This window comes from Homo sapiens, chromosome 17, assembly GCF_000001405.40.
Source record: "Homo sapiens chromosome 17, GRCh38.p14 Primary Assembly".
Classification (NCBI taxonomy): domain Eukaryota; kingdom Metazoa; phylum Chordata; class Mammalia; order Primates; family Hominidae; genus Homo; species Homo sapiens.
The window spans coordinates 69,568,801-69,590,517 of NC_000017.11; the positions used below are offsets into that span (position 1 = coordinate 69,568,801).

Sequence of the window (21,717 nt, forward strand, 5' to 3'; positions counted from 1 at the left end):
TCTCTCTTCTCTCTCAATTTAAAGTATTAAAATTGTTTAACATCTTTCTAGGAAGCAGGTAACACAATGGTAAGTTTACAATCTTCCTCCTGTCCCTTTGTATACAGGGGTCAATTTATGTTGGTAATATGGTGAATGATCAAGCTCCAATATTAAACTTTGGAGACAAGTAATATCCTACCTTGTGGAAGTTTGAATTAAAAGATCTCTTTCAAGTGCAGTTGAGAATTTAGCCATAACTCTATCATTCAGAGATAAATTAAAATTCAGTGTGCTAGTGTATGTGCATGTTTTACATCAAAGGCAATGGTACCAAGAATGCATACTTAACCTTCCGCCGTGAGGAGTTTGAATTGGAAAATTTTAATCCAGGTTATAAATCACTTGAGAGACATTTAAAATAGCCACAAGGGGGCAGCAAAACACACAGGATTCCCTGAATCCACTGACGCAGGAACATTTCGCTGTGTCTTACGAAGGCAAACGAAAGAACGAATTAAAGTACCTGGCGTTTGAGCCGTCTTCAAACACTGGCATTTCTAGTACCAATACAGTGAAGCCGGCAGGGGAGACGCTATACTTCCTAACTGAATAATATATGAGACACCAACTTTCTAAGTATTTCTTTTCTTTTTCTTCTTTTTTTTTTTTTTTGAGATGGAGTCTCGCTCCCTCACCCAGGCTGGAGTGCAGTGGCGCGATCTCAGCTCACTGCAAGCTCCGCCTCCCGGGTTCAAGCGATTCGCCTGCCTCAGCCTCCGGAGTAGCTGGGATTACGGGCACCCGCCATCACGCCTAGCTAATTTTTGTATTTTTAGTAGAGTCGTGGGGAGGGTTCACCATGTTGGTCAGGCTGCTCTCGAACTCCTGACCTCAGGTGATCCATCCGCCTCGGCCTCCCAAAGTGCTGGGATTACAGGCCTGAGCCACGTGCCCGGCCCCTTTCTAAGTATTTCTTATGAAGGGCTACTGTGATTTGCACCCAGGGAGGGCGAAAACCTGTCAGTGGCTCATGATACTTACCAGTGGAGCAGATTGTAAATTCCTCTTCCTCCTTCTCCTATAAAGATTTCTCTGTATTCCAGGGGCAAATAACAATAGGTAAAGTATCAGTTAGATTTAACTTTTAAAAATAAGAAACAGACCCTCTTGCAGAAGCAGTAAATACTTATGAATCACTTATCAATTATCAGGCACTGTTCCACAGGGAAGAGTCCAGGGTACTGGTCGAACCTGGATTTTATTGTCAGGCTTTCTTGGTGTGAAACTGTACAAGCTCGGGCAGATTTCTTCGCCTTTAGATGTCTTAGTTTCTTCACTTGTAAGATGAGGCTAATTCTATAGGTTGCTTTAAAGATTAAGTAAAATAATATATGCCAGCTCAGTGGCTGACATATGATAAGAATTGAATTAACAGTTATAAAATTACTATCATACATGAGTGGCATGTGGTATTACTCAGTATTGTTTCTTGGTAACTAAATGATTATATGTAATTTCATTTAATTCTTACAACTAGTGTGAGAGACCAGTTTTATTTCTCTCCATTTTTATAGGTGAGAAGTTGAGGTTCAAAAGGACTGATTGCCTAATATAAATAAAACGGAAAAGCTAGGATTTGAACCTATCGTTTTTCTGACTCCCAGACTCAGGTACTTTCAACCACACCTGTGTAGGTAGGCTACCATCATATTTTTCCCCCTCTTCCTGGTAACTCCTAAAGTCACCTGAAGTCACCTAATAGATCTTGGAATGAGTTAGAAGTTCCACTAGGCCAGCACAAGGCAGGATCGCATGAGTCTTCTCATGCACTAATCAGACCAGGGTGTGGGGACGGAGGAGAGGAAAGACTTTCTAGTAATCATGGAGGAAGCAAGTATTACCCCCATGTCTCAAACCCAAATCAGTCTCACCTGGAAAAATCTCTCCAAGGCAACATACCTTAAACTCATGAGCACTTATTTGTGTATCTCCTACATCATCGAGTGTCATCCTTGTCTATGGGGGCAAGTGATTGTTGAAATGAGTTGACTCATCTATGGTGAAGAGCTATATGGATGTCTGGAATCAGAATGTTCCCGAGGTTTTTAAGTCTTGAAATAATCATTTAAGTGCATAGAATTTGTTCTATTTGCTCTCTCTCAATATGGAAATGGAAAGACCCTTCTTTGCATGTTTAATTGGAGAAGGCACTCTTACTTAACAGGCTTACAGAAGCATGTCCTCACCATGTGCACTGAGAAACCACACTGAATACACTTTTAATTATTTTATTATTATTATTTTTGAGACAGAGTCTCACTCTGTCACCCAGGCTGGAGTGCAGTGGCGCGATCTCGGCTTGCTGCAACCTTTACTTCCCGGGTTCAGGCGATCCTCATGCCTCAGCCTCCCGAGTAGCTGGCATTACAGGCATGTGCCACCACACCCAGCTAATTTTTGTATTTTTAGTACAGTCAGGATTTCATCATGTTGGCCAGGCTAGTCTCGATCTCCCGACCTCAGGTGATCCGCCCACCTCGGCCTTCCAAAGTGCTGGGATTACAGACATGAGCCACCGCACCTGGCTGTGAATGCACTTTTTAAATTAAAAATACAAACATACAAACAAAAGAAAACAAAACAAAAAACACCCTCTCTGTGTAAAGCAGCTTAATTATCCACCAATTCTTTGTTATTGTAGAGCAGTAGTTACGCCCCTAAGAGAGATGACCGCAGAGAATTACAAAGAAAAAGCCTGCTGACCTATATACATGCTTATTCCTTATTTCAACTGACAATATGGAAATGATAGAAGATACTCCCTTTAGTACCTATGGATTTTCCCACGTTCTTTTATAGAAACTTTGGGGTCCCTCAAGATGAAAAAAAGCTATCCTCAGATCCTCACTTACTCCTGTAATACAGTGAACATCACAGAGTAAAACAGAGTCTGAGCAAGATCCCTCTTGGTAAATAGTCTGCTGCTGAGACTGCCCCTTGGCACTTGGCCACTGTGACACCAATTTCAAAAGGTTAGATCTAAATGGCAAATGTTCTTAAAATATCCTCTTAATTATCTGTTGACTTTAAAAATCATATTTAACAGTAGTATTCATTTATGTCCTAAATGGGAATTGTCTTGTTTTTCTCTTTGGTGCCCTTGATATTAAATTGCTGTGGTTTGGGGAGAATTCTAAGTGGACCCCGTTTGTTCTTATTGAGGGTGGGCCTTGAGGCACATACTGACTTTCTGTGAATTTGTCTGTCTACAGAGCAAGGGGTCTGGGTGACTGTGTCAGAATGTGGGGTAAGGTGTGGCAGTGTGTGGGTGGGGATTAGAAGCCTCCAACTTGCCTAGGAACATCTCTCCATTCTTTATTCTTGAGCCAGACTTACAATCTGAAGAGTACTCTCTGCGTACTTTGAAGAAGGCGCCATGATGTTTCTTGGGGCGGTACACACTTGCAAATGAAAAGTCATATTATACTTGGTAGATTTCTCATCACTTATGGTTATTTAAGCAGATGAGAAGGAATTCTACAAAATAAGTACATAGAAAGGCTGACGCGATGGCTCAATGCCTGTAATCCCAGCACTTTGGGAAGCCGAGGCGGGTGGATCACGAGGTCAGGAGATTGAGACCATCCTGGCTAACATGGTGAAACGCTGTCTTTACTAAAAATACAAAAATTAGCCGAGTGTGGTGGTGCATGCCTGTAATCCCAGCTACTCAGGAGGCTGAGGCAGGACAATCGCTTGCAGTGAGCTGAGATCGCGCCACTGCACTCCAGCCTGGTGGCAGAGTGAGACTCCATCTCAAAAAAAAAAAAAAAAAAGTACATAGAATAGTCAGATATGAAAAAAGGCACAAATTATACTTTGTATAGTGATTCCTCTACTCATTCTTGATAAACTGTAGAATACTGCTTCCCTTGTCACACAATCCTTTTAATTAAAAAAAATGCAATGATATGCTTGCTGAATTTTTATAAGGAAGATTCTTAGGTCAGCCTTTGACATGGAGACATGTACTCGCTGAATGAATAAATCAAGATAGAAAACCTTATTTATTTAGCCAGAAATGTGCTGTGCAGCTCTTCCCTGGAGCTCCCAGAATTTCCCAGTAGTGGATCTCATAGAAAGAATTCACAGGTGAAGCTTCAGCAGAAAAGGAACCAGAAAGATAATCACTAATGTTCTTTTCCTCCCCTCCCTTCGTCTCCCCTCCCCTCCCCTCCTATCCCCTTTTTTCCCTTCCCTTCTCCTCCCCTCCCCTCTCCTTTCCTTCCTTCTCCTCCTGTCCCCTTTCTTCCTCCCCTCTTCCCTCCCCTCCCTCCCCTCTCCTCTCCTCCACGTCCCTCCCTCTCTTTCCCGTTTTCTTTCTTATTTCTTCCTCTACTCCCTCTTCCTCCTCCTTTAAGAAATGACATAATTTAAGACACTGCTGCAGATGATTTAAAACATATATTTACCTTCCTTTTTTGGATATGACCTAAAAGGAAAAAGTGATGTAAAGGAAGAAAACGACAGGTTAGAATAACTCCTCCTCCTCCTCTTCTGGTTATAAAGATTGGTCTCCAGTAGCATAATATGAAGGGAGCTGGAGATGATCTGCTCAGTGTCAGGGTGGTGTTATGTGCTTGTCTGAAAAATGAAAAGATGATTTAATCTTGTGTATGTGTTTTAACAGGATTAACTTCATGACCCCATGGAGAAGGGGTAGAGTAAGGATCTCACACCAGTGGCCTAAGGAAGTACAATTATGGAAACTGGAGGGTGTGTGCTAACTACCAACCAGTCCGGAACTTCAGTTGTGTTCATAAGGGTCCACACAACAACCTTCACCCTTGCCCAGGCTGTAAACCTCATCTGGGTTATTCTGACTCTCCATCCTGAAGTTATTTTTCTTCCCCAGTGCAGTTGAGAACTCTTTCATCAGGTCAGCAGGGAAAGGCATACGAAGCAGGATAATCTGGAAATGTGCTGGGAGAACTCTTTTTGTCCATGAGCTAAACATACCTTAATAACCTTGCCTTTAAAACAACAAACAAACAAGTAAAAAGCATACATAAGAACCAGAAACAAAATATTAACAATGACAATAACCAAACTAAACAAAAACAAAAACTATCTTGTACTGCTCCGGGTTGCAGGTTTTTAACATAACTAAGAAATTGTTATTAAAATAAAAGATATTCATTGGGAAAATGTAGATAAGCAAGTAGAAAAAGATGAAACACAGTCTTAGCATTCAGAAATAACTCTGGTTATATTTTTTGGGTTTAGACTCTCAAAGTGTGTGTGTGTGTGTGTCTTTCTCTCCTACACACAACCAATACAAATATAAATTTACCAAAATGAAAACATATTTGCTCTTATTACTCTTAATAAGCATACTCATTCTTTAATAACTGCAAAATATGTGATCATATGAGTGTACTATAGTGAATGTAACTGGCTATTACTACTGTGTATGTAAGATGTCTTGCATTTTTTCTTTCTTATAAATTGCTTTATAAAAATTGTTCTTGTAGCCAAGTGTTTGTGACGTTACAAATGTTTACTTAGGATAAATTCCTAGAAGCAGGATTTCTATGTTAGAGGTTAAGGACATTCTGAAAGCTTTTGTTGTTAAGTAATGCGAAGACACCAAGAGGTCTCACCCACACATTCTTTTGTCAGCAGTATATGAGATGCCTAGATTCTCACTACTCCTGAGGGTAATCATTGAAGTTAAAGGAAATACTTAAAAGTGGATTTTTGAAGAGGAATGACTAGGCAGTTTAATTCTGCCTTTTGGAACATTCAGACTTTATTGCCAGACCAGTCTTTTTCGGGAATTCACTTGTTACCAAATGACTTAGAGTCACACTGAAGGCTGAAGCCTATAAAAGGGGTCACACCGATGGTATTGTTCATTCATTTATAAGAAAGATCACGTCTTTCTTGCTTTATTCAAAGGAGCGGAAGCTGGCTTGCTTCCAGCTGGGATATCCTGATTGGAAGTCAACTCGGACAGTCAGCTTTGCTCCTTCCTTACCATCCTCTTAGTGCAAGTTCCTCAAAGAAGACTGATGTGTACACAGTCTGGTTTGCACATATACAATGCATCAAACACATGATCTGCTTTGCTCATCCTGTGTGGCTTTGGGGTCCAAGGGGAGGGGAGAGGAAAGAGGCTGAGAAAATGGGCATTTCTTCCTGGTAAGTCCATATCAAAGATCAGTGTTTGGCTCACCAACAGCTGCTACACTAATTATTCATCTTAATAACAATGAGTAACGATGTTTAAAAATCCCGAGTGCCTATCAACACTACATTTAGTGCTATACAATATGCTTAGCTCAAAGTCCTCATTGGACATTTTATAATAGCCTTTAAAATAATACTTACATTTTCAAAGCCCTTTACCGTGGATGAAGTGTTTTCATATTGATAAGTGAATGTACGATGGGTGGTCAGATTTGGTGGTATTTCATGCTTTTTACCTGTGTTTGAATAGTGCTCAATTTCAGGCCTTCTGACTATTCCTTCTGTTTCATGTCTACTGTTTAAATCCTTACTTAAAAAAAACCAATGATGGGCTCAAATCTCTTATCGTATTTCTTAATGGGATGGGATAAAATGAAGGATGTGGTTAGCTGTGATGACACATTTAAATAAATAGAAAAAATAGAAAAGTCAATCATGTGGCAAGATATGCTTTCACTTAGTGCCTTGTCCCCTGGAAGTCAACATGAAAAAGTGCTCTGGGTCTTGGATTAGAAAAAGCCCCAAACATCTTTCATGCATGGCTGGAAGTGTAAGACTCGTTATCCTGGCTCTAATCCAGTGCAAAGGGGAATTTCAAGAGCTGGTTCACATATTTGTAATTTTCCAGTTTTGAGCATACACTTCCTATCCTGGCCATTTGTGCTTTCTGGGGGAAGCCAGCAAATTGCTTGTGCAGAGGGAAAATGCTTCTTGATATCTTAAAACCGTAAAGTGCTGTGGGATATTTTTGGATAAAGAGTTGAGGGAGATCATTAATTTTGTAACCACTGTGTTGTCATTAGCACAGTTCTAGGCTTACAATGTTTTATTAGTGTGGTTTGCATGATTAGTTTACTTGGAGAATTATTATAAATTATTGATGCTATCATTCTGCTGTGGGGAAGCCTAGCGAACTGGAGGAAATAAAAAAGGCATAGATTTTGTTGTTGTTGTTTTTAATCCTAGTTTATGAGCTGCAGTACTCACTAAAGTGCTTTGGAAATCTACTAAAAAGTTTGTTAATTCAGGAAAAAAGATACTGGTTCAGAGGACCACCAGAGGAAGCTTCAGGGAGCAGAGGGGCTCCGGAAGGTCTTTAAGCAGGAAAATAGTACTATGAGCAACAAACTACCTTGTTTGATTGAAATGGAGCATTTTCTAAGAAGTTGAAAGGCAATGGGGTCAAAAAGATAAAACTTTTTGTCATTTAGCTAAAAAGTTTAAGAGTAGCTTTCAAGGGCCAGGCGTGGTGGCTCACGCCTATAATCCCAGCACTTTGACAGGCCAAGGCGGGCAGATCACAAGGTCAGGAGATTGAGACCATCCTGGCTAACACGGTAAAACCCCGTCTCTACTAAAAATACAAAAAAAAAAAAAAAAAAAAATCAGCCGGGCATGGTGGCGGGTGCCTGTAGTCCCAGCTACTCGGGAGGCTGAGTCAGGAGAATGGCGTGAACCTGGTAGGTGGAGCTTGCAGTGAGCCGAGATCGTGCCACTGCATTCCAGCCTGGGTGACAAGAGCGAGACTACGCCTCAAATAAAATAAAATAAAATAAAATAAAATAAAATAAAATAAAATAAAATAAAATAAAATAACTTTCAAGAAGCCAGAGCTAAGTGCTAGGAGAAATCTCCCAAGAAGATGGACACAGGTGATGTATCCTACATAGTAAGCCACATGGCCCATCATGGCTGCTTGCTGCATGAGAGGCTGCCCTTCTTGCAACTAAACATGACGACCATGACTGGCCAGAACCCTTGCTGGAGGAAGGAGAGAAGAGCAGAAGGCATTTACATAAAAGATACATCAACACTTCTCATTGTGAAAATATAAAAATAAACCCAAAGCCCTTGTTGGTGGCCGACCCTCAATCCTGGCACTGTTGCTGGATTGACTTATCCTTCTAGATGAGCTATGCTCTTTTGTGATTTGGGCTTTCTGTAAATGGTATCCCACTGCACACCCAAACATAAACGTGCTTGTAACATGTCAAGTATCTCTTGAAGCTCTTTCTGTATAAGTATACTCAGAACCACTTTTAATTTTAAACTGCAGATTGCATGTTATAGTAGGATGTACTCTATATATGTGGTCATTCTCCTGTAAATAGACAGTTAGGTTTTTCTGATGCTGCCTGCCAGATGAGAACAATGTTGTGGGTTCCAGGTGTTTAATGTCAGTTATTTTCTACCCAGTCAGGTGAAGAAGTGATATTCCGCGAATGTCTAAGGTTGGCTGGCCAGCAGAGTTTGGACGGTTGAACACACTTTTTGGTTCTGCCTCTGCATGGGTAAGCGCGTAAGACCCGTGTTGTTGCTTCTACTTAGCCTTAGAGGAAAATGTCTTAACTACAGTGTTGAGGGAACTATGTTCCCATCAGGGGACACCTGCATTTATTCCATAGGACAGTTACGTTATGTTAATATTTTTCTGATTTTCCTCTCCTTTCTGTAAGGGTAAAGGAAAAAAAACTTTTAACCTATGTTTTAGACTTCAGTGAGAACCCTCTCCTATATTCATACTTTCATTACTTTTCAGTAGATTCATAGAAACATCTATGTAGACTTAACAGTTTGGCCATTAGCTTATGGTAAAGCTTAGGACATATTCTTCCTAGCCTAAATGTGAGTATTCATTTGTGATTTAAATGACTGTGTTGCCTTTTTGTTTTGTGACTTAGACAGGGCTGATACCGGTTATGGGATGTGTGTATTATCCTAGCTCCCATAAAAGGGGCTGATTTTCCTACTAAAATCATTAAAGAAGCAAAACCTATTATGGGAAATAATGATTAGATCACAACATCCTCGATAAATAGAGAACTGGCTAGTTAAAATGACCTAGTTAAAAATGTTAATTTTGTTCATGGGTTTTAAAGTTTTATATTCCTGTTTAGCAGGAAGGGAGAATTTATTTAGGACTGAATGGAAGCTATTACAGGTGGTATTATTATTATAGAGTAACCCATGAAGAAGGATATTTTGTTTAAGCCTTCAATATCATACAATATTAAGTATTTCATAAACAATAAAAATAATCTTTTCTCTGTTGACTTTGGTTACTGATACTATTTGAAATAGAATAATGGGTTCAGTTCAGGATATCTGAGAGCAAAGATTACAAGGGAAAATTGCTGAAGATAAACCCCCCTCTCCTGCAATCTCTAAGGGCAGAGTTTATCTTGTCTGGTCTAACTCATCTGGGAATTTCAGACCTCTGAAAAAGTTCTGTTTGGAGTGAATGATTGGCCTTGAATTTTGACCTTTATAACAGAGATAACTTGGATTTTTTGGGAAATTTGATGATGATGTATAGTGAATTTTCTTATCTGGGAAAGATGAGTTTTTGAAGTGTTGTTATGGAATGGGTCTTTCTGGAAGAGTCTAGTTTTGATTCAAGCTAGCTTCCCAAATGCTGCTTGAAATCATAACATCTTGGAGAATGCTTGTACTGCTCTTAAGTAGGCAGGGGATCTTTGCTTATTCCCTGGCAGCGATGTATGGCATTTCCAGTTACTCAGGCTTAGGAAATAGAGCAGTTTTCTCCCGCAGGACTCAACTCTGCACTCTGCAAAAGAATGGCCTCTTTAGGGTACTTTGGATTTATTGTGCTAGTTTAAGCAAGGGGCACTTGACTGGGTATGATTTACTTTGTGTTTACAAGAGAAAAACAAATAAACAAACTTCCGTCTCTATTAGGTAATTGACAAATGTTTATGGAGTGTTTACTGTGCACTTTCAATTGTGCCATGCCCTTTTGGGGACATAAAAATAAATTATCGGAAGTTTCTGAATTACTTTCCCCCCAAACACCATTCTCTTCTCTAGGCAGGACTTTCCATTTAACTGTACCTAAAAATCCCAAGTCAGATAATTTTTGAGATTGTGTCTGCCTTCCCAGAAACATCAGCACATCTGGAGCTGTGGCCTTGGGGTTGCTTGAATTTGACTCCTTGCCCATTCTTCATGTCTGTGTTCTGGACCCCTTGCAGGTCAGCTTTTTGTTTTGTTCCTGTCTACTGCTGGCCTCTTCAGACCTTGCACTTGTCCATATGTCTGCTCCTGTCTGTTCCAAGTCAGGTTTCCAGCTTCACTGTCATTGGATTCAATTCCTATCAGCTACTGGGTCTGCTCCTGTCTTGGCCTTGCTTTGGTGACCCCCGTTCTACTCTTGGGCTCTAGATTCTCTTCCTTCTTTTAGCTCACAGCTTGGTGTTGAGCCATGGTTTATACCCATCATGACTTTATCCAGCTGTTTTCAAGGGGAGGCTGGGCAAGAGGATGTGTATGCCTTGGTGAAAAAGTATTACCTCTTTAGGGAAACTGGTTATACTGTCCAGGATACCTGTGGAAACACATCCGTGACATTAGTTGTGGCAATAGCATGGCGGTGAGGAGCACATTCTGGAATTAGGTAACCTTGATTCTCTGTCCTTTGCCTCCCATCTGTGTAGCTTTGTAGGGGTTATTAATCCTCTGTTTCCTTGTATGTAAAATTTGAACATGACAAATTTCACAGGGTTGTTGTGAGCTAGAAGATGCATAGGATATCCTTAGCATATAATAAATGCTCAGTAAATAATAGCTATTGCTTTCACTATAAATGTCTGGGGAATTGCAAGTAGCTTGGAGTTATTATTGCATGCTTTAATAACGTGGAAGTTATGCTACAAGCTTTGGTTAGTCTTTCTAATTTATTACAACTGATATATATTAGGTATTTTCTATGAGCAAAGGGTTATGTCAAGCACTTTCCAGGATGTAAAGTATAGAATATGATTTCCCTTGAAAGAGGTTGCAATTTATTAGGAAACAAACAAAACAATTTTATTAAGAGGCCAAATGTGATAGATGGTGCAAGGGAGATGCCAAGTCTAGTGGGAGCAGAAGGAAAGAATGGGGTGTCTAATGACTCAGAGAACTGGAAAGCGCTCCGTCAAGTAGAGGACATCTGAACTGGACCTTGAAGGATGTGAGTATTTCTGAAGACAAAGAAGGGAGATGTAGGAATTTGAGTAGGCAGATATTGAGGTAAGAAGGCATATTTAGGGTAAAGTAACCTTGAGCAGGCAGATATTGAGGTAAGAGGAAATATTTGGGGAAAGTGGTCTTACAGTGTTATTTAAATTGGGGATCTTTGTAAATGTACAATTGGAGACCATTGTATGAATGATCTCAAATGTCAAATGTCATGGCCAACAAATTTAGACTTTATTCTATGGCAAGTGGAGAGTGTTGAGCAGCAGAGTGTTATAATCAGGTCACATTTAAGGAAAGATTGGCTGGAATAGATCCTGAGATGAACTGGAGCTGCTGTATTAGACCTGGAGGCAGTGGGAAGCGAGAACAAATTATTGCATTTGTCTAGGTAGGAGGAATCCTAGATCGTATTAGGATATAAGAGAGAAAACATGTAAGAGTCATTTCAGTGGTTGAAGCAAGAGGACTGATTGAATTTAGAAGGCAGGGAAGGTGGATACATTGGAGAACTCATTGGAGTCTGGGAGTCTGGGAAAACAGTGACATCATTAACATAGAAATGGAAGGAAGGAGAAGGATAAAGAAAGATGATCAGTCTTGTTTAGTACATATAGACGTGGTATCTAGGACTAGTGGCACATTCTGGTGGAAATATTTAGCAGCCAGTTGGAAAGACCTTGTAAGGTAGCACTGCTCAAATCCCGTTGGGATTTAGTTTGTTTTTAAATCCATGTAGGCTAGAATCCTTCTCATACTTCTTGTACTCAGTATTTTTTTTTTTGCGCTATTCTCCTTAGCAGCATCTAATACCAGTTTTCCCCTTTGGAGGTTTGCCCAGTGGTGCAGTTAGGGAAATAATGATAATGATTCTGCCTCGTGTGTGTGTGTGTGTGTGTGTGTGTGTGTGTGTGTGTGTATTATAGCTCAGTCTATAAGGGAACGTGCAATCTTTAACTTATCTGACCTCTGTTTTCTAACTTGTAAAATACGATGAATAATAATCACCTTATCTATCTCCTGGAATAGTTGTGTGTCCAAATTAGAATGTGACTAAAAACACAATTAAAGTGCTATATAAATAAAATGAATCATTCTTATACTCATCATCAAAGTCCTTAGCGGATGTCTTTCGTGTGACTTTTAAACCCATTCTCCCATTGCTTCCTATAAAGTAGGAAATCACCCAATGAGAACTCCTTTTTTTTTTTTTTTTGGCATTAGCCTGTGAATCATAGACTTATTTCTTCTAAAGTGACAATTAAAAGCAAAGAGAAAGAAAGCCCAACTGCATAAACACATCTATTTATATTTTAAACTGAAAGTGCATTCACCCAAACCACAAAACCCCAAATCAACTTTTAGCTCCTTCCGAGGCCATGTCCAGTCCCTGGGCTCTCCCGGAGGTGAACTGCTGGGAAAGTGTGTGGGCTTCAAGCCCAGGATCGACTCAATGGCTTCTTCCTCTCCCCTCCCCACGCCTTCCCTCCAGCACACCTGTTTGCAGAACTTCTTCCTCTCTTGCCCAGGCATTTTGATTCTGGTCACGACCACCTGTGAAGGATGACGCAGATTTAGCCCTACGCACATCCTTGCCTTGTTGCTGTCTTCAGGGTCCCAAACTGGGTTGATTCACCCCACAGGACATTATTTTTAGCCTTTATCTCTTAGTGGTTTTGTTTTCTTTCCGCCGCCTTTTGACCTGAGAGCTGGAAATAAAGTCCGCCTTCCATAAAGACGAGAAAGTTGTCAGTCATTTCCTTCCTGCTCACATGAAAGGCCGGCCCAACGGAGCTTGCAGAAGACGCTGCAAGTTCCAGTTCACTGGGTCCTGAAAACACCCGCACTTTGGGAGTGAATTTCATTTCTTCCGTGTAGGCTAAGAAGAGAGGTTGCCTGGGCTAGGCAGCTGTTCTTTCAAAGGGTCTTGAAGATGCTCAAGGGAAATGCAATAAAAGAAAACCACATTTTCCCTCTCCTTTTGATCATGGTTGCTGAACCCAAACACCTGGGCAGCCTGCCTACTTTTAAATATTTGAAATAATTAAAAGAAATTCACAGGCAAAACGAGAAAGTATTGCTTTCAGCATGAAATCATATCACACTATAACATCATTGGACAGAAAACTTAGTTTTTACTATGAAATAAAATATGAGAAATTGCTTTGCAAATTTTGTAAAGTGCTAGGTATATTAAAGATCTCGAAAATTATAGTTTGTTTTTTCTGATTCTGAAATGAATATATATGTATCTATATATATTCAAATGAAATAGAAATATATAAAAATAGAAAAATATATGAGCATGCAGTATCTTTTTCAATATCGGAATTCATTTTTGGGCTATTATAATTCAACCACTTGCCTATTGATATTATTTTTGGAGAGGTATTATCAATATTAGTGCCACTAATTTCCTCCTACATTTATGAGTGAACTTTTCTATCATTATCATTCAGATTAAATTCTAAATGTGTAATTACTGACTCAAGGCATACACAATTAAATTAAAATTAAGTTATAGCTGATGAATGAAAATTATATATATTTATGGTATGCGACGTTTTGATATATGCATACGTCGTGAAGTGGTTAAATGAAGCTAGTTAACATCTCCATTACCACAATATACTTACTTTTGTTGTGAGAACATTTAACATCTACATCCTTAGCAGTTTTTCAAGTACACAGTATATTATTATCAACTACAGACACCCATTTCTCCAGGAAGACAGTACCAATTTACAGTTTCTACAAAGGTGTATATAAATTTCCATTTTCTCAAACTCTTGCCAACAGAGGGTTTTGTTTGCCTGCTTCTCAATCTTTGTTACTTTGGCTGTCCTATTTGTTATTGGGTAACTTGAGTATCTTTGTGTATATTTGTGAGCTATTTAAATCTGTCTCTCATGAATTGTTTAATCCTTTCCCATTGTTTTTTCCTGTGAGGTTATCTTTTACTAATTGATTGATAAGAATCACTTTCCTATTGGGTATTAATTATTTTTCTCTTATATATGCAAATATCTTCCCAGTTTGTCACTTGCATTTTTGCTGCCATACAATGTTTTTTTCCTTTGTTTTTAAGTGGCTAGGCATATTCATCTTTTCCTTTATGGTTTCTGCTTTTTGTGTTGGATGGCATTTTCTGTCACTGGATATGAGGCTTGCTTCTAGGCAGGCTTTGGAGCTGGACAGACTAACTTAAGCCTCACTTCTGTCTCACATTGGCTGAGACTCCAAGAGGACAAATCAGTTGCCCAGGTCTGTGTATCGGGATAATAATCCATATTTCACAGTGTTGTTTAATAACTAGTAGGCTTAGGGGTCTAGAGCTCAGGACTAGGCTTGTCATAAAGGAGGGGCAGGGTGTTAGTTTCCTTTCTCCCTCTTATCTTCAAAATGAACTGGATACTGATTTAGTTCCTCTAAAGAAGAGAACAACAGGGATGAGAAGGTCTCTTTTACTGTCTTGCTTTCAGTTAATACTAATAAATGCTCTACAGGGAAGTGGTTCTCAGGATGTCCTATGGGTATCAAGGCAGTGCCTATCTCTTTCCTGCTTTAGCATATTGTTTTTGTTTTTTTTTTTTTGGAAAAAGAAAGTAGGTAATTTCTGTTCCTGTATTTTCATCAAGTTATACATTTTTTGAAAGAATAATTAGCCTCATGGCAAAATGCAACTCTCCTCAAAGATGAAAAACCAAAAAGATTAAATGTAGATGCTCGTGTGAAGGTTTCAGGTAAAACAGAGAGAAAAGACGAAGCTGAGGCATCCAGGAGATTCTTGGGAAAGAAGGGCTTCTTCCCTGTAGAAGAGACCTCCTTGGGACTTTATTATTTCTACATACACCTTTATGTTAACAAAATCTAGCCTCAGTCATTAAAAAAAGATCTGTTTCTGCAACAACCACCATATTCATTAGCACATCAAAAACTTTAGTTTTATATCGTATAGATAGAATGAAATATGAAAAGATGCCTCAGTAAGAGATTTACTTGGTTTCACCGTCCAACATCTACCTACATCTTTTCATTCTCTCCAAAAATAATGAAGCCATAACTTTCATCCTTTGCAAAGAAAGTAAATTTTCAGGGAAGCTCCTTTTCTCTGCCAAGTGTAAATTTTGAAACACTCCTCAGTTAGGTCTGCATGCACAAAGTAATGGAGGAAATACAACCAGCCAACAAGCTAATCCAAGAAATAGGAGCTCACTGTTACTTTACTTACCTGAATATCTAAAATCTTGGTTATTTCAGCCTGAATTATACAGAATTATTGAATCATTTCTAAGTCATTTTGTGTGTGTAGGCACAGTCTATTTTAGGGCTCTATTCTTTATATCCATAATCAGATGAGCTAATGTATGAAATATTAAGCTTTATAACTCTTATTTCAATTTTCTTAATAATCTATCTCCTGCTTCTCATATAATAAAATTTAAATTTCACAAACTTATTTGAAATCATCACTATAGTGGGATTGAGGATAAATTCAGCATCTGTCATTAAAATGTAATCCAGATATGGGATGGGAATGCTTTTTTTTTAGATGGAGTTTCGCTCTTGTTGTGCAATGGCCCGATCTTGGCTCACCGCAACCTCCACCTCCCGGGTTCAAGTGATTCTCTTGCCTCAGCCTCCCGAGCAGCTGGGATTACAGGCATGTGCCACCACGCCTGGCTAATTTTGTATTTTTAGTAGAGACGGGGTTTCGTCATGTTGGCCAGGCTGGTCTTGAACTCCTGACCTCAGGTGATCCGCCTGCCTCGGCCTCCCAAAGTGCTGGGATTACAGGTGTGAGCCACCACATCTGGCAGGATGGGTATGATTTTTAAAGCCCAGAGTACAAATAATAATAATAGGGATAATAAGCTATATAAATTATTTATTAATAAAAATAATAATCAAATAGTATTTGAGTACTTAGGATTGATTGGTTGATTGATTCATTCATCAAATACTTAGTGAGTGCCTACTATGTGTCAGACAGGGTTCTATATACTGAAGATAGAGTGGGAAGCAGATAAGATCCTTGCACATACAGAGCTAATTATCCTGTAGCCAATGGGGAAACATAACAAATGGGAGAATGCAGAAATGAGATGACTGTAGGTAGTAATAAGCATATAAATAATATAAATAAAATAAAATTGGGAGACGTAAGAGATCATGTTGTGGTGAGGAAGGTGGTAGGGAAAATGCAATACATAGGTTGGGCAGGGAAGGTCTTTCTGTAGAGGTGACATTTGTGCTGGGATCTGAGTGATGAAGCATGTGAGAGTGATGAAGCATGTAAGGAAGAGTTTTCCAAACAGAGGGAACAGCGGCTCTAAGGCCCAGAGGAAATAATGAGTTTGGTGGTTGTATGTATGATGGTTAATTTTATGTGTCAACCTGGCTACACCATGGTAGCCAGGTGCTCAGTCAAATACTAGTCTAGATGTTGCTGTGAAGATATTTTTTAGATGAGATTCTGTGTAAATCAATACACTTTGAGGACACGAACAGACAGTTCTCAAAAGAAGACATACAAGCGGCCAACAAATATATGAAAAAATGCTCAACATCACTAATCATTAGAAAAATGCAAATCAAAACCACAGTGAAATACCATCTCACACCAGTCAGAATCGCTATTATTAAAAACGCTAAAAAACAACAGATGCTGGTAGGCTGTGAAGAAGAGAGAATGCTTATACACTGTTGGCGGGAATGTAAATTGGCTCAGCCACTGCGGAAAGCTGTTTGAAGATTTCTCAAAGAGCTTAAAACAGAATTACCATTTGACCCAGCCATCCCATTCCTGGCTATATATCCAAAAGAAAATAAATTGTTCTACCAAAAAGACACATGCACTGTTATGTTAATCACAGCACTATTCACAATAGCAAAGGCATGGACTCAACCTAGGTGCCCATCCATGGTGGACTGGAAAATGAGAATGTGGTAGATATAAAAAATGGGGCATATATATCATGTAATACTATGCAGCCATAGAAAAGAACAAAATCATGTTCTTTGCAGCAACATGGATGGAGCTGGAGGCCATTATCCTAAGTAAATTAATGCAGGAACAGAAAACCAAATACTGCATGTCCTCACTTACAAGTAAGAGCTAAACACTGGGTAATTATGGACATAAAGATGGCAACAATAGACCCTGGAAACTACTAGAGTGGGGAGGAAAGGAAAGGAACAAGGGTGGAAAAACTAACTGTTGGTTACTATGCTCACTACCTGGGTGACGAGATCATTCATATCTCAAATCTCAGCCTCATGCAGTATACCCAGGTAACAAACCTGCCCATGTACCTCCTGAATCTAAAATAGAAGTTATTCTTTAAAAAAAACCCTTTGAGAAATGCAGATTACTCTTGAAAATGCAGGTGAGCCTCATCCAATCACTAGAAAGCCTTAAGAGAAAAAAGGCTGGTGTCTCCTCTGGAAGAAGAAATTCTTCCTGCAGACTGTCTTTGGACCTGAGCTGAAACATCAGCTTCCCTGGATCTCAAGGTTGCTACCTTACCCTACAGGTTTTCACCTTGCCAGCCTCCACAATCACATGAGCCAATTTCTTAAAGTAAATCTCTTTCTCTCACACACATGCTGTTTGCTCTGTTTCTCTGGAGAACCCTGACTAATACACTACATGAATAATAAGTTGAAAGGAGGAGAGACTAAAGTGACAAGAGTAAAGATGAGAAGAAATGGGTGGTGTGGTATGTGTTGAAGTTACAGGTCACAGAAACTGAATATATGAAGTGAGGGAAAGGATGAAGTGAAGGGCAATTCTTCTGGTAGGCACTGTGCTAGGGGCTCTCTCTCTATAATGCCTTATTTTTACGATAATCATTATCACATTTTATTTTATTTTATTTTATTTTCTGAGACGGAGTCTTGCTCTGTCACCCAAGCTGGAGTGAAGTGGCACGATCTCGGCTCACTGCAACCTCCGCCTCCCGGGTTCAAGCAATTCTCCTGCCTCAGCCTCCTGAGTAGCTGGGATTACAGGCACACGCCGCCACACCTGACTAAGTTTTGTACTTTTTAGTAGAGACGGGGTTTCACCACGTTGGCCAGGCTGGTCTCAAACTCCTGGCCTCGTGATCCACCCGCCTCGGCCTCCCAAAGTGCTGGGATTACAGGCGTGAGCCACTGTGCCTGGCCTATCACTTTATATATGAGGAAAGCAAGAGCCAAAATTTTGAGTCAAATAACTTTTCAGAATCATGAGCCTATAGATGTCCACATTTGTAGATTTTCTAAGGATCATTTGAGACCAAATGCCAAGGAAATACTTTTCAATTGGTTCCTATTTCCTGACTTGAAGTTGGGGGCAGGGGAAAAGATGGATTGTTACAGTACTTTAAGATCCTGTTGGTTACATGTAGATCAATTTGTCCTATTAAACACAATACAACCTTCCTAGCATCTTGTTTTTCTTACACTTTCTTTATATCTTTGCCAGCCAATGACTCTTCATTTAATTATTTGTATATTACTTAGTTGTTACTTGGTTTCAATCTATTGTTTAACACACCTGTGAGTGGTTAGAAATTTTTCAGTCACAATCATATTAGTGATATCCTTGAGGTAAGAAAAGCGAGAAAGTGCTTGATCAACTCCAGTCATATACACATATTTTGTTATTTCATCCTTCCATGTATCGTCCAGAATCCATGCTACCATTCCCATGTTGCAGAAGATCAACCAGGGGCTTGGAGAAATAAAGTATGATTTTTCTCAGATTACAGAAATAACAAATGACAAAAACAAGGTACAGAGAAGATATGCTAGGACACTCTCCATCATTTCATGCTATTAGTGTTTCTGATTTTTTTCTATTTTTTTCTAGTATCTCTCCTCTTTGGTTGTTTCATACAATAATCTTTACCATCTGCCACACTAAATATATATTAAAAATATATTCCAGTTAATATACAGTTTGTGTGTGTATGTGTGTGCATGTGTGCACGTGAGCACCTGCACTGGGACTCTTCAAATTTTAATGTAAGTGGGACTTTTTATTTTTTTTTGAGACAGTCTCGCTCTGTTGCCCGGGCTGGAGTGCACTGGCACAATCTCGGCTCACTGCAACCTCTGCCTCCCGGGTTCAAGCAATTCTCATGCCTGAGCCTCCCGAGTCCCTTGGATTACAGGCATGTGTGACCACACCGGGCCCTAAGTTTTGTATTTTTAGTAGAGACGGGGTTTCACCACATTGGCCAGGCTGGTCTTGAACTCCTGACCACATGATCTGCCTGCCTTGGCCTGCCAAAGTGCTGGGATTACAGGCGTGAGCCACTGTGCCCGGCCATAAGTGGGACTTTTATTTATACTGATTTGGCAGCTTAAAACCACCCTTTCCCATAGAAATGAACATATATAAAAGGAGACCATTTGACTTTCAAGACAAAGCTTGCTTTACTTCCTTTGCTTTCGTATGATATTAGTTCTATTAAGAGTTGTCTTTTCAGTTAATCTAATTATTCTTCAGTAATGACATTTCCTCATTTTTGCACCTTTGAGTTAACAACATTCCCAGGATTTTTCTCTTATGGTCTTCATTATATATAGTGAGCAATGTGTTTGTTAGGAAATCATTCTGTAATTCTAGTGTTTACCTGAGTTCAATAACCCCTCAGCATAATATAGTATTAATGAGGACTTTCAAACAAGAGAGCTAAAATGTTGAAATCTTCACGTGCTTGTCTGCAGCTTTTGGATACAGGAGATCATTTAAAATAGACTTTGAATTTTATTTATTTTTGAGTTCTGATAACTTTCTAGGTGACCTTGGTGTGTATGAACAGCATGGGCCAAGGAACTGTTTTTTTTCCGGCTTTCAGACGTCAGATTGCTTCCTTTCACACCTTGGAATGTCAGAAATTTACTGACTTCTTTCTCCCTGAGATGTTTTTCTCTTGCAGTATTATTACGGGGACAGCAGTATTCTGTTTACTTGTTGCCGGGTGGTTTTTGAGACCTCTGTTGCAATTGAAACAAGAAGCCAACCAACAAAATCAACTCTTGCAATCATTTCTGTCACAAAGAAAATGTCACATGAACCTTCTCAAAGCCTGGAGATTTAGTGCCAAAATGCATTGTGACATTTATAGGGTTTACCTTAGGTTTAGAACAGAGACCTGAGTGCCCTAAAACTTAGTCGTGTGGCTAAGGATCATTTGAGACTAAATGCCAAGGAAATACTTTTCAATTGGTTTCTATTTCATGACTTGAAGTTGGGGGTAGGGGAAAGGATGGATTGTTACAGTAGTTTAAGATCCTATTGATCACATGTCAGTCAGTTTGTCCTATTAAACACAGTACATGTGTATGGGGGAGTCTTGGTATGTATCCAATTCCATTCTCTATTAAATGACAATCTTGATAAAAGTTTATGGGTTTTTACTAAACAAAAACCAGAAGAGATTTGGTGGCAGAGATATTTAGTGCTCACAAAATATCAGGGCTTCCTTGCCTTCCTTTCTCAGCCTTGCTTGCGATTAAGTTCGAGCTGTGGACCCGTTTTGGCAAACGGGTTGTGAGCAGAAGTGATGTCTGCTCCTTTGATTTCTGCCCCCCAAATCCCTCCATGACTCTTGGGTTCTTTCCTCCTGTGCTGCAGAGGCCTTGGGAGCTGAGATGGGGAAATGGTGGCAACATGAGATGGAGAAGTCCTGGAGAGAATTTTCCTGTAAAAAATTCTGCACTGGACTTAGCATGAGCAAGAATTGAACCTTTGCGGTGTAGAGCACCCCTCCCCCCATATTTTGGGTTTCTCTTGTTACCTTACCAGAGGGAAGGTTAATTTTTCAAATTTGTATAATATCAGGATGACTGTCCAAATTTTTATCATAGTTCTGAAATGGGAGAGTTCCCTGACCCCCCTTGCAGGACATGTGACAGGGGTGTGGCTCATCTGTTCGGTAGCTGCCACTGCTCAAACCCCTTATGGGAGGGGGAGCACACAGACAGATAGGGGCAGGAGCCCAAGCAGGTGTGTGTTATAGTGAGCTCTTTTAACCTTGCCGTCCATGTGAAGCTTAAGTATTAACCAGTTCAGTGGACCCTCTGCCTTTTTGCAAGGATGGAGGGCCAGAGTGACAGCTTTCTGTATTCTGAGCTCTTGTCCAGCATCCCAGAAAAATTGGGTCACAGACGGATTTGAAGGATGGTGAATGCAGGGGTTTTATTGAGTGGTGGAGGTCTTTCTTAGGGGGTGGATGGGGAGCTGGGAAGGGGATGGAGTGGGAAGATGATCTTTCCCTGGGGTTTGGCTGTCCAGTGGCTGATTCTCCAACCGTCCCCAGCCAAACTCCTCCCGACATTCCTTCTCTTCTCCCCTTCTCTACTACTCTTCTGCTCTTCTCTTTGTCTGCTTCTCTCCTCCTAGAGCTGGGGATTTGTGTTTTATATGGGCAAAGGATAGGGGAGTGTGGCAGGACAAAAGGCAACTTTTGGGTGCAAAAACTGGAATGCCTGTTCCCATTTAGGGCCTCA

The 21,717-nt window shown here is 39.9% G+C and overlaps 1 annotated feature.

Annotated features, from left to right (window-relative positions):
- Positions 296–797: an enhancer, noted in NCBI's record as "H3K4me1 hESC enhancer chr17:67565237-67565738 (GRCh37/hg19 assembly coordinates)". NCBI's record gives its function as "activates a minimal SCP1, AML or CMV promoter by ChIP-STARR-seq in naive H9 embryonic stem cells {active_cell/tissue: H9 hESC(naive)}" and the evidence as "EXISTENCE:reporter gene assay evidence [ECO:0000049][PMID:30033119]".